At 42.3% G+C, this 11,704-nt stretch overlaps 1 protein-coding gene and 1 long non-coding RNA gene across 4 annotated transcripts in view; one reads left to right on the top strand and one right to left on the bottom strand.

The window, feature by feature from the left end:
• SPATA42 (spermatogenesis associated 42) lies at positions 9,894-11,201 on the bottom strand. 2 transcript variants are annotated; one of them, NR_034168.1, is made up of 3 exons: positions 10,917-11,201; positions 10,151-10,260; positions 9,894-10,033 (listed from the first exon to the last, which is right to left on the bottom strand). It is a non-coding gene; the product is annotated as a spermatogenesis associated 42 (long non-coding RNA). The 2 variants fall into 2 exon arrangements; NR_049777.1 differs by lacking the exon at positions 9,894-10,033 and having other exon boundaries at positions 10,078-10,260.
• Positions 10,174-11,704, top strand: part of AKNAD1 (AKNA domain containing 1) — a 42,344-nt gene continuing 40,813 nt past the window's right edge. The window contains exons 1-2 of one of the 2 annotated variants that reach the window (NR_049760.2): positions 10,174-10,360; positions 11,358-11,489. The gene's annotated coding sequence lies outside the window, so the exon portion shown is untranslated. Of the gene's footprint in view, positions 10,361-11,323; positions 11,490-11,704 lie in introns of those variants that run through there. The other variant, NM_152763.5, reaches the window with a different exon arrangement.

Genomic DNA, 11,704 nt, shown 5'->3' with positions numbered 1-11,704 from the left:
ATGTTCTCCTCTGAAGATAATGACATTGTTTTATGATGTTATTATCAGTTTTAATAATGGGATTGCAAATGTGCCCAGAGTTTTAGGCAAATCATACCAATCCAAATTGTCATCATTTGGAATTCTTTCTACCTTAGTGGCTAGACTCCACCTCAGATAGTTGTCACTGACCCTTCCCAAACCATTGTGTTCTGCATTAGTAGAACAGAACTTTGGTAGGGCTCTGGTCTCAGAGACATTAACCCATTTATGCCTGAGGTTGCATTTTTTGGAATTTTTGCAATCAGACCTTAGTGATGACCTTGAGCAGTAGGACATAAATAATTCCCACACGCTTAGCATTCCGATAATGGAACACTAGGCATAAAAACTAAGTAAATTTTTAGCGGTGTCTCACTTCCCCGTTGGGTCACATTCTTTCCAAGAAACCAAGTATAGTCATCCTACAGATACTTGCTAGCATGCTGGAGGGATTGTGCAGAAAAGGGTAGATCTTTTATGAATATTTGAGCAACACGACCATGCCAATGTCTATGAATTCTACCCATTGCTTCCACTCTCACCAATTATGACTGTTCATCCTCTGACCACAGGCTTCTTTTAAGACATTTTTGTGTTCACAGAGCCTCTTAAACCCATTTAGGAGGATTATAGATGTTCTCTCTAGCAAGCTAGGTACAAAGGCTTTTTCAGTCCACCTTTCTCAGTTAAATTTTCACCCTTACTTGCCCTTCCATTTGGGGAAGAGGGAGAAGGAGAGAAGGTAAAAAGATTTGACATTTTTTGAGCACCTACCATGTGTCAGACACTGAGCAAGGCACTTCCATACACTTATCTAATTTAATTGTCATGAGCACCCTTTATCTCCATTTTGTGGATGTGGGGACTGAGGTTCAGATCACTTAGATAACTTATCCAAGGTCCTCAATTACTAAGGAGCAGAGCTAAGGGTCAAACTCATTTTTTTTTTATTTGTTTGTTTATTTGTTTTTGAGACGGAGTTTCGTTCTTGTTGCCCAGGCTGGAGTGCAGAGGTGCAATCTCAGCTCATCGTAACCTCTGCCTCCTGGGTTCAAGCGATTCTCCTGCCTCAGCCTCCCTAGTAGCTAGGATTACAGGCATGCACCACCATGCCCGGCTAATTTTGTATTTTTAGTAGAGACAGTGTTTCTCCATGTTGGTCAGGCTTGTCTTGAACTCCCGATCTCAGGTGATCCGCCCTCCTCGGCCTCCCAAAGTTCTGGGATTACAGGCATGAGCCACCGCGCCTGGCCCAAACTCAGCTTTTAAACAACTTGTGCTTCTCCACTCTCCTCAAGCAGCCAAATTGGTCTTCTTCCCTTCCTTACCTCCTCCCTGTCTGCCTTCCCTTTTCTCACTGTCTCCCCTCCCTCCTTCTACTAGTATTTTATTATTGTGATAAATGCTACTAAGGAGATACATGGAGTACTCTGGAGGCTTATATCAGAGGACCCTGGCCTACTGTGGGAATGAAAGAAGGTTCTGGAGGAAGTGGCATGCTAGGAGTTGAGTAAGAAATAACCAGGTAGAAAGGCAGGAGGAAGGTGGGGTGGACACTTCAGGCCCCGTGAACAGACGAAGGGAAGGTCTAAGGTAGGCAGGAGGCAGTGTATTTGAGGAGCAAAAGAAGTTCAGGGGACAGGGGACCCCCAGGGGCCAAGGAGTAAGTGCAGAGAGTGAGCACTTCAGGGAGAGGATTCCAGTCCTCATCACTAGCTGCACATCCCACTCACATGAAGCACTAAGGAAGAGGATTATTTGCAGTCTTTTTTTTGAGACAGAGTCTCGCTCTGTCGCCCAGGCTGGAGTGCAGTGGCGCGATCTCAGCTCACTGTACCCTCTGCCTCCCGGGTTTAAGTGATTCCCCTGCCTCAGCCTCCCGACTAGCTGGGATTACAGGTGCGTGCCACCACATCTGGCTAATTTTTTGTATCTTTAGTAGAGACGGGGTTTCACCATGTTGGCCAGGCTCGAACTCCTGACCTCGTGATCCGCCTGCCTCGGCCTCCCAAAGTGCTGGGATTACAGGCGTGAGTCACTGCGCCCAGCCCATTTTCAGTCTTCACAGAGAAAACACATTTTATCCTTGAGTAGTGTTTCTAACTGGGGGCCCTATTGGCGTTTTGGACGAGAGCATTCTTCTTTGCACAGGACTTTACTTCCACTGTGGCCCCTGAGTACTAAATGCCAGCTGCACTCCGCCTCCATTTTTAAAAGCCCCTGGGTGGTCCTGCCATCCTATTGAGAACCCACGGCTCTAGTTCAGGCTGCAGGAGTGTCACTGCCATCAACTTCAGGACCATGCTTTATCCCTTCATCCAGCAACATCCAAACTCCTCTTTTGGTGGATCTTCTTCCCTGTAGACATCCTAATGGTTCTCATGTATACCACCATGACACACTGGGAGAATTTCCAGTTCCATGAAATAAATGTTGAGACCCTGCCATCCCTGCCATATGCCCTGGTTGGGAGTACAGATAGGCTAGTGACAGGACAGATATGAAAAAATTAATTACAAGATAGTGGGGAAAGTGTAACTGAGGAACCTTGTACAGGACATGAATTGGCAAAAGATGAAGGGATGACCTCTCCTGGCCAAGGACGCTAGACAGGAAGGGCATTCCAGGCGTGTCTTCTTCAAAGACTTGGGGACATAAAACACCAGGTGAGCTTGGGAAGCTATAAATAGCTTGGGATTGTTGAAGCATGAATTTCAAGGCAAGGTGTGGTAGGAAGACAGGTTGGGGAGGTAGGCTGCCGCAGTTCACAAAGGGCCTCAGAGGCCATATGGAGCTTAGACAGTACACAAAACAAACTGCCAAATGTGTTACACTTGCAAACCTGCAATCATCCTAAAATGATAACATCTGAATGAGGTCATTAAAACTTTTCTGAAGAGCTTTATAGATAAGGTTACTGCTGTTTGATACAATTTTCTCCCTGGCTCTATAATCTCATTTTATGAAGTTCCTGTGTGCCTCAGAGGACTTTAAAGTCTCTTTTCTATTATTACTATGTTTTTGAGACAGGGCCTCCCTCTGTTATCCAGGCTAGAGGGCAGTGGCGTGATCATAGCTCACTGCAGCTTCCAACTCCTGGGTTCAAGAGATCCCTTCTGCCTCAGCCTCCTGAGTAGCTAGGACTACAAGCTTGTGAGCTTCTGTCACCATGCCCAGCTGATGTGTGTGTGTGTGTGTGTGTGTGTGTGTGTGTGTTTTAAAGACAGGGTCTTGCTATGTTGCCCAGCTGGTTTTAAACTCCTAGCCTCAAGTGATGCTCCACTCTAAGAATCCCAAAGTGCTGGGATTACAGGTGTGAGCTACCAAGGCCTGCTCATGTATTATTATTATTATTATTTTGAGAAAGGGTCTGGCTCTGTCACCCAGGGTGGAGTTCAGTGGCATGATCTTGGCTCACTGCAACCTCTGCCTCCTGGATTCAAGTGATCCTCCCACCTCAGCCTCCCAAGTAGCTGGGATTACAGGTGTGAACCACCACGCCCAGCTAATATTTGTATTTTTAGTAGAGACGGGGTTTCACCCTGTTGGCCAGGTGGTCTCAAATTCCTGACCTCAAATTATCCATCCGCCTCAGCTTCCCAAGCTTCCCTCAGCTGTATTATTTTTAATAGCTTTCTTGAGCTATGGCTGACATACAATCAACAGGACATATTTAAAAGGCACGATTTGTGAAGTTCTGAAAAAAAATCACCACAATCAACATATCTATCACTTCTAAAAATTTCCTCATGTCTCTTGGTCACCCTATCTGCCTTCTCAACCTCCACCCAACTCAGACAACCACTGATCTACTTTCTATTATTATATATCACTTTGCATTTTTCACAATTTTATATAAATGGAATTATACAATATATACCCTCTGTGTGTGTGTGTGTGTGTGTGTGTGTGTGTGTAACCTGGCTTCCTTCAAATAGCTAAATTACAGTCAAGCGCCACATAATAGCATTTTGGTCAATGACAGACTACATCTACAACAGTGGTCCCGTAAGATTTTATTACCATATTTTTACTGAACGTTTTCTATGTTTAGGTACACAAATACTTACTATTGTGTTACAATCGCCTACATAATTTAGCATGGTAACATGCTGTATGGGTTTGTAGCCTAAAAGCAATAGGCTATACGATACAGCCTAGGTGTGTAGCAGGCCATACCATCTAGTTTCTGTAAGTACACTCTATGATGCATTTCTCAGAATGTGTATCTGGTGTTAAGTGACACATAACTGTATTTTGAGATTCATCCATGTATTACAGTTGCATGTATCAATAGTTATCATTTTTAATTTTTTTTAAACTTTCCAGTTTTGAAGGTATGCCCTCCTGCTGTATCTCAATAAATTACAATTGTTCCACGGGATAAAAAAGCTTCACATCAAGAGGGACTTTGGGGTAGTAGTACCCCCTGGAGATACAATAAATGCTGCTTGGGGATGAAATGATGAGGCATAGATCCTAGTTTTCTAAGAATCCTCCAAAAGAGTACTATGGTAAGCAAAACAATGGCCCCAAAAGATGTCTAAGTACTAATCCCTGGAATCTGCACATGTGTTACATGTCAAAGGGATTTTGTGGGTGCAATTAAATTAAGGATCTTGAGATGATTATCCTAGATTATCCAGGTGAGCCCAGTGTAATCACAAGGGTCCTTGTAAGTGAAAGACTGAGGCAGGAATGTCACAGTCAGAGGAGATTTGAAGATGTTGTGATGTTGCTTTTGAAGATGAAGGAAGGGGCCAATGGGTCAAGGAACGCAAATGGTTTCTAGAAGCTGGAAAAGGCAAGAAACTTGATTCTCCTGTCAAGCCTCCAGAAGGAATGCAGCCCTGCCTACACCTTTATTTCAGTCCAGTGAAATTATTTTCAGACGTTGACCTCCAGAACTTAATCAGTTTGTGTAGTTTTACACTACATTTGTGATAACTTTGTGAAATAAAATTTATGAGAGGTCATTGGTTGACTGAGCTCCTGCACTAGGCCCCAACAGACCAGACCAAACTAGAATGGAGTCACTTGTGCTAGGGGCCACATAACCAAACTGAACTTAGAAATGGGTCAGTTTTCCAAAAAACAGGAAATTCATAGCAACCAACCTAATGGGGCCCAGTCAACTTGATCAGGCATGATAAGGAAATCCCCTCTGCTTGAAGTCACTTTGAAACAACCAATCTGCTTATTGTTCCTTGTTCCTTATTTCTGCTTACTTCAGCCTTTTCTGCCTGTAAAGCCCATCCTCTCTGCTCAGCTCATTGAAGAGCCTTTCTATTTCATAGATGGGATGCTGCCTGATTCATGAAGTGCCAACAAAAGCCAATTAGATCTTTGAAATCAATTTGTTGAAATTTTGTTCCTTAACAATTTGTTATAGAAGCAATAGGAAACTAAAACAATAACCAATCTTATTAAAAACAACAACAACACTGATGAGTCTGACTGCTTCTATTTCTTCTTCCTGTTTGTGACATGTGGTCTTACAGGAGTAGAAGCACATTGGCTTTGGATGACCTGTCCTAGCTCTGTTCCTCTGAGCTTGGTTATCTTTTTTTTTTTTTTTTTTTTTTTGAGACAGGGTCTCACTCTGTTACCCAGGCTGGAGTGCAGTGGCATGCTCTTAGCTCACTGCAACCTCTGCCTCCCAGGATCAAGTGATTATTGTGCCTCAGCCTCCCGAGCAGCTGGGACCACAGGTGCATGCCACCATGCCCCATGCCTGGCTAATTTTTTTTTTTTTTGTATTTTTAGTAGAGACAGGATTTCACCATGTTGGCCAGGCTGGTCTCAAACTTTTGTCCTCAAGTGATCTGCCCGCCTTTTCCTCCCAAAGAGCTGGAATTACAGGCATGAGCCACCGCGTCCTCAGTTCTCATCTTAAAGAAGCAATGATATTTACTTCGGGGGCTGTGGAAAGGACTGAAGAGATATACACAAAGCACCTACCACACAGTAGGCTTTTAATCCCACCTCACCCCTGATTCCAAGGGATTAAATCCTGGCTGCTAGTGGCCTGCTGTGTAATTTTAGCTAAACTGCCTCCTCTCCTTCAATCTGTTCCACAAGGTTAAAGGGAGATACTTAAGTCCCTGAGAGTGTTTAATTAGAGTTTGCAATGTGACTGGATACTGTTGGTTGAAAAGTGTTATTTAGAGGCAAAGTGCTGTTATTTTTGAGCAGATAATTGTTTCCTGTCCTAAGTTGTTTAACCTTGTACCGAGTTCCCTTCTCTGAGATAATGACATTGCTTGAGAGGGTAAAGAAATACTTCACCTAGGTGTTGTGAGTTTTAGTTAATTAACGCTTTTGAAACCTACACAAGCCTATCATAAAAGGCTAAACGTTGATTATTTACCTTTCATATGGTTGTCACTTCCAGTATCTTAATACTATCTAGTAAAAATTGGCATTGCAGCATTGGATCAGGTAATATTTACTTTATAATCGTGTTGGGGGCTCTAACTTACGACTATGCAAAAAGCTTTGTGCTTTTTACAAGAAAGGGGTTAGGGAAGTATTGATAGCTATTGTTTTTCTACCATGGCACAACTTATAACAGATTTACATTTCAAATCCTCATCTCATATAAAACCATACAAACTGACTAAAAAAGCTAAAATTGCGAAATACTGAGAGAGGTATTTTACATAATGGTTAACAAGTTTTTAAAGCTAGCATGTATCAAGACATTATGTGTCAGGCACTGTTCTAAACCTCATGCATGCATTAAAGCTAAAGTAGGCATAGGCTGGGTGCGGTGGCTTACGCCTGTAATTCCAGCACTTTGGGAGGCCGAGGCAGGAGGATTGCTTGAGCGCAGGAGGTCAAGGCCAGCTTGGCAAACAAAGTGAGACCCCACCTCTAAAAAAATTAAAAAAAAAATTAGCTAGGTGCAGTGGCAGGAACCTGTAGTCCTAGCTACTTGGGAAGTTGAGGTAGGAGGATCACTTGAGCACTGGAGGTTGAAGCTGCAGTAAGCTACGATCATGGCACTGCACTGCAGCCTGGGCGACAGAGGAAGACCCTGTCTCAAAAATAAATAAATAAATAAATAAGTTCAAGTGATTCTCGTGCCTCAGCCTCCCAAGTAGTTGGGATTACAGGCACCTGTCACCATGCCCGGCTAGTTTTTGCATTTTTAGTAGAGACGGGGTCTCATCATGTTGGCCAGGCTGGTCTTGAACTCCTGGCCTCAAAGGATCCGCCCACCTCAGCCTCCCAAAGTGCTGGGATTATAGGCATGAGCCACCACGCCCGGCCTACAAATATGTTTAAAACATAGAACATGCCCTAACAAAGGTAATCATCTTTTTATACGTTTAAGTGCCATGTATATTTGTATATCTTTTTTCTCTTAATTCATGTCCTTTGTTCTTTGGGGTCATTTTTTTTTTTATTGATTTGAGTGATCTTTATTCTAAAATACTTGGAAAAATACAAGAAAGCATGACAAGGGGTCCTGATTAAATTCTCCCCTGCCTTCACCAGCACATTGCCAGGTTTTGTTGATTACTCAAAAATGTCTTATGTCTTGAATACATCAACTTGTTTAATCTCTGCCACCACCATGCTGGTTCCTTTCAGCTTTCCCAATAAACAATGTTATTTTCCATCCTCAGGTCTTTGCACACATGTCCTCTCAGCCCAGAACGCTCTGCCCCGACTCTCTGCGTCGTTGGTATGCGTCCTTCAGGCTCCAGTTGAAATGCATGGCCTTGGAGAGCCCTTCCCTGCCTATCTGATCTCGAGAAAGATTTTCCTTCCTTTCTTATATTCTTTCTTCCAGCAGTCTCTTCCGATCATTCATAGCACTTATCACCATTTATAATAATATACAATGTGTTAAATCCTTTGCACTCAGTTAATGAATATTTGGAAAGTGATTAGAATAGCATCAGGTGCATTGTGCTACGTAAGTGTTGATTTAAACAGCAACTCACATACTCTTCACAACAACTCTATGTGGTAGTGCTATTAATACCCCCATTTTACAGATGAACAAACTAAGGAACAGAGAAGTTAAGCAACTTCTCTAAGATAGCACAGTAGTGAGCAGCAGAGCCTAACTACAAACTCAGTCTGGCACCGAAGTCCATAACCTAACTGTTCTCTATATTTCCTTTTGATTCCAGGACCTGCATGGTACTGTGTGCCTAACAGGTACATTCAATACATATTTGTTTAATAAATGAAGGAACAGTTCTAACGGGAAAATAAAAGTTACCTGTAATCCTACCACATGTTTTGAGATTCATTCTATAGATATTTCTTCTAATATGAAAATAGACTTTTAATCAAAATCTTAACTTTTTGAAATCATTTTGAGGAGCATAGATTAGGTATCAATGTGCAATATATTTAACCTTGTATTCATTATTTTAAAAAATTATAATTACAAGTCAATGTTCTTCCTTTAGGCAGGGGGAGGAGGGCGGAGGAGAGAAGCATAAGTCTTTGGTTAAGGGAGGAAGGGTTTTCCTAAAATATTCTGGCCCTTCTTATCTCCAGGAGGAGGTTGCAAAACTTAAGTTTGAAAGTTTAGGGAAGGGCAGAGACGTTTCAGGGACAAGATTAAAAACAAATTATACTTATTCGAGGCTGGGTATGGTGGCTCATGCCTGTAATCACATCACTTTGGGAGGCTGAGGAGGAGGATCGCTTGAACCCAGGAGTTCGAGATGAGCCTGGGCAACCTAGCATGATCCTGTCTCTACAAAAAAAAAAAAAAAAGAAAAAAAGAAAAAAAAAATTAGCCAGGTGTGGTGGTATATGCCTGTGGTCCCAGCTACTCGGGAGGCTGAGACAGGAGGATTGCTTGAACCCAGGAGGTAGAGGCTGTGGTGAGCCATAATCATGCCACTGTACTCCAGCCTGGGACACAACAAGACTCTATCTTTACAAAATAAATAAATAAATAAAATTTAAAAATTATACTTCTTTGGCTGGGTGTGGTGGCTCATGCCTGTAATCCCAGCACTTTGGGAGGCCGAGGCAGGTGGGTTATGAGGTCAAGAGATCAAGACCATCCTGGCCAACATGGTGAAATGCTGCCTCTACTAAAAATACAAAAATTAGCTGGGCTTGGTGGCACGTGCCTGTACTCCCAGCTACTCGGGAGGCTGAGGTGGGAGATGGCGTGAACCTGGGTGGCGGATGTTGCAGTGAGCCAAGATTGCGCCACTGTACTCCAGCCTGGTGACAGAGTGAGACTCTCTCTCAAAAAAAAAAAAAAAAAAAAAAAAAGACATTATACTTCTTTAAATCAATGTGTTTTAAAGTTTATCACTGGAATTACTTTCAGAAAATTAATTGGTAAGAGTTTTCTAAATGTTCCCAAAGCACAGCAAAGGTCCGTGGTTTACAGCACACACTAGGCTACATCAATGGGAAAATTGGATAAAAAGACAGGGCTAACCTCACCAAAGAGCAAGGAAAACCAGCAAAGTTTTCTGGTAAAACACAGGCAGGAAGTTTCTCCAAATACTGCTTTACTCGCACTTTTAAAAGGCTTTCCTCCCTTCCCCCCAACTTCTAAAATAGTTTCAGGATAACAAATTTGTAACAGCTGGTCATCAAATTCATGCGCACTCCCAAAAGGACGACAGCCCTAAGACTGACTATAAATAATACATCCATCTGGCTCTTGTAGGAGTATTGGATTGACTTGTTGCCCATCACAGTGTCTCCCTTCTGCCACCCCACAATGACAGGGTGAAGCTAGACAGCCTCACTGAATGGTATATGGTTACAGTTGAGGCACTGCATTGTGGGTACCCCACATTTCTGAGATAAAGTTAGCTGATAGAATTACCAGAGCATAATCAAATGCAGTCATTACAGAGGGAGCCTATATCATGTTACCTTTGAAAATATTTTAATCTAGAAACATCATACACTGTATACAAAATTCATGAATCCCTGACGCCTGGGCGTGGCCTTGGACATATTATTCTGAGCCATCTCCTATTTTCTTTCATATGTAAATGTTATTCTTGAGCTAGGAATAGGAGAGAAAGAGAAAATTGAAACAGCCAGACCAAGTGTTTTTGAATGCTCTTAAAAGACAAAAAAAAAAAAAAAGACAAAAGTTTGTATCACATCAGAAGTTCCCTACGTGCTCTTCAAAGCTGATTGCTTGCAGTTAAAAGAACCCAGAAGAAGCAGGCACGCCATGATTTTGAAGCTCCGTTTTTGTTCTGTTATTCAACTGCAGTCAACTTCCAACTGTTGAAAAAAAGATGATTTAGAATTAAAGGGTTGCTTGTCTGTGTCGCAAGGCCCTTCAACTTGTTCACCTGTGATATCCAGAGACTCCAAGATGTTGGTGAGTTTCTATTGCAATTGCCATATTGCCATGGTTTTGCCCTTTGTGTTGACTGTAGCATTGTGCTGTTTGAAGACAGAGCAGCATACTGCTTTGTGTAGTAAAAATTGATGGATAATGTACTTAAAGCTTTTAGATGTACACTATTCACATTCTAAATGACAGATACAAAAAGGAATAATCAGAATTTAGATTGTTGAATCATTGCCTCCAACAGCCAACTCTTACCGTGACAAAGTCAGTAGGGCTGATCTTAGAAGTGTAGGACTTGTGAGTGTTACGTGGTTGTACTAACTGGTACCTTAGTGGAGGGGCAGATAAGGTAAGTAGAAACAATGCCTGCTTTCTCCTCCATGTCTGGGTCCTACACATAGTCCCCAGTTTGCCTGGTTTGTAGAGGTTTAAACACAGAACAGAGGGTGTTGGGAATGAGACAAAGAGATTGTCACAGGAACATGGACCCACGGTTTTCCTTTGGTGATGAAAACAATCCTGTCAATATGGAAAACTGTGTTATCACAAAATGGGCTTAGCGAATAGAAGAAATGTCACCTACCAGCCGGAAACAACAATTCGCTGACCATCTTTGGCCTCTTGCCACTAAGGAGTTTTGGTTTTCCCATCTGTAGAAATTCTTAATTGAGTCCATCAGATTCCCAGTCATCCTAGCCATGGTTACCTTCTTCTCTAAGTTGGCAGGTTAGTGAGCTTAGGCTAGCACTTCAGCATCAAATTTAGACTTCATAATAAAGTAAATCACACAGGGAATAGCTGTCAGCATGGTGACCACCTTGTTGTCCATTCCTACTCAGGGACTGGCCTGAAGTGTTTTCACAGCCTGGGTCACTGTGATGTCCTGGCCCTGTTTGCTCAAAGTGTTCATCTCAGAGTGACTTGTGAGGTATTGCTGAGCACATAATGGTCAAGATAGCTGCATAAGCAGGCGTGGCCCCAAATGTAGTCACCTGACTTCAGAAAATCAATTTGGATTCTACAGAAAGGTTCTGTTGGATTCTGAGTGGAACCTCTTTGGATATGCCTTTGGATTTCAAGATTGAGCCAAGTGTTGACATGGGAAGATGCTCCAGTTCCTCCAGTTATCTCAAAGAAGCTCATTACCTTGCTAAGGGTATGGATTGTCCTTTTCCAGAAAAAATCCTCTTGATATTTTGCATGCACACATGCAAAAAATAATAACAACAGAAGCTGTTTTCCTGTATGTAATGAGAGTGTTCCTCAGGTTTCTGGTTTATCTTAATGGTATCTCACTCCTTTTCTTTTCCTTTCTTTCTTTCTTTGTCTGTGTGTGTGTTTGTGTGTGTGTGTTTATGTGTGTGTGAGAGA

This window comes from Homo sapiens, chromosome 1, assembly GCF_000001405.40.
Source record: "Homo sapiens chromosome 1, GRCh38.p14 Primary Assembly".
Lineage (NCBI taxonomy): Eukaryota > Metazoa > Chordata > Mammalia > Primates > Hominidae > Homo > Homo sapiens.
This window is presented reverse-complemented; position numbering and strand designations above follow the sequence as displayed.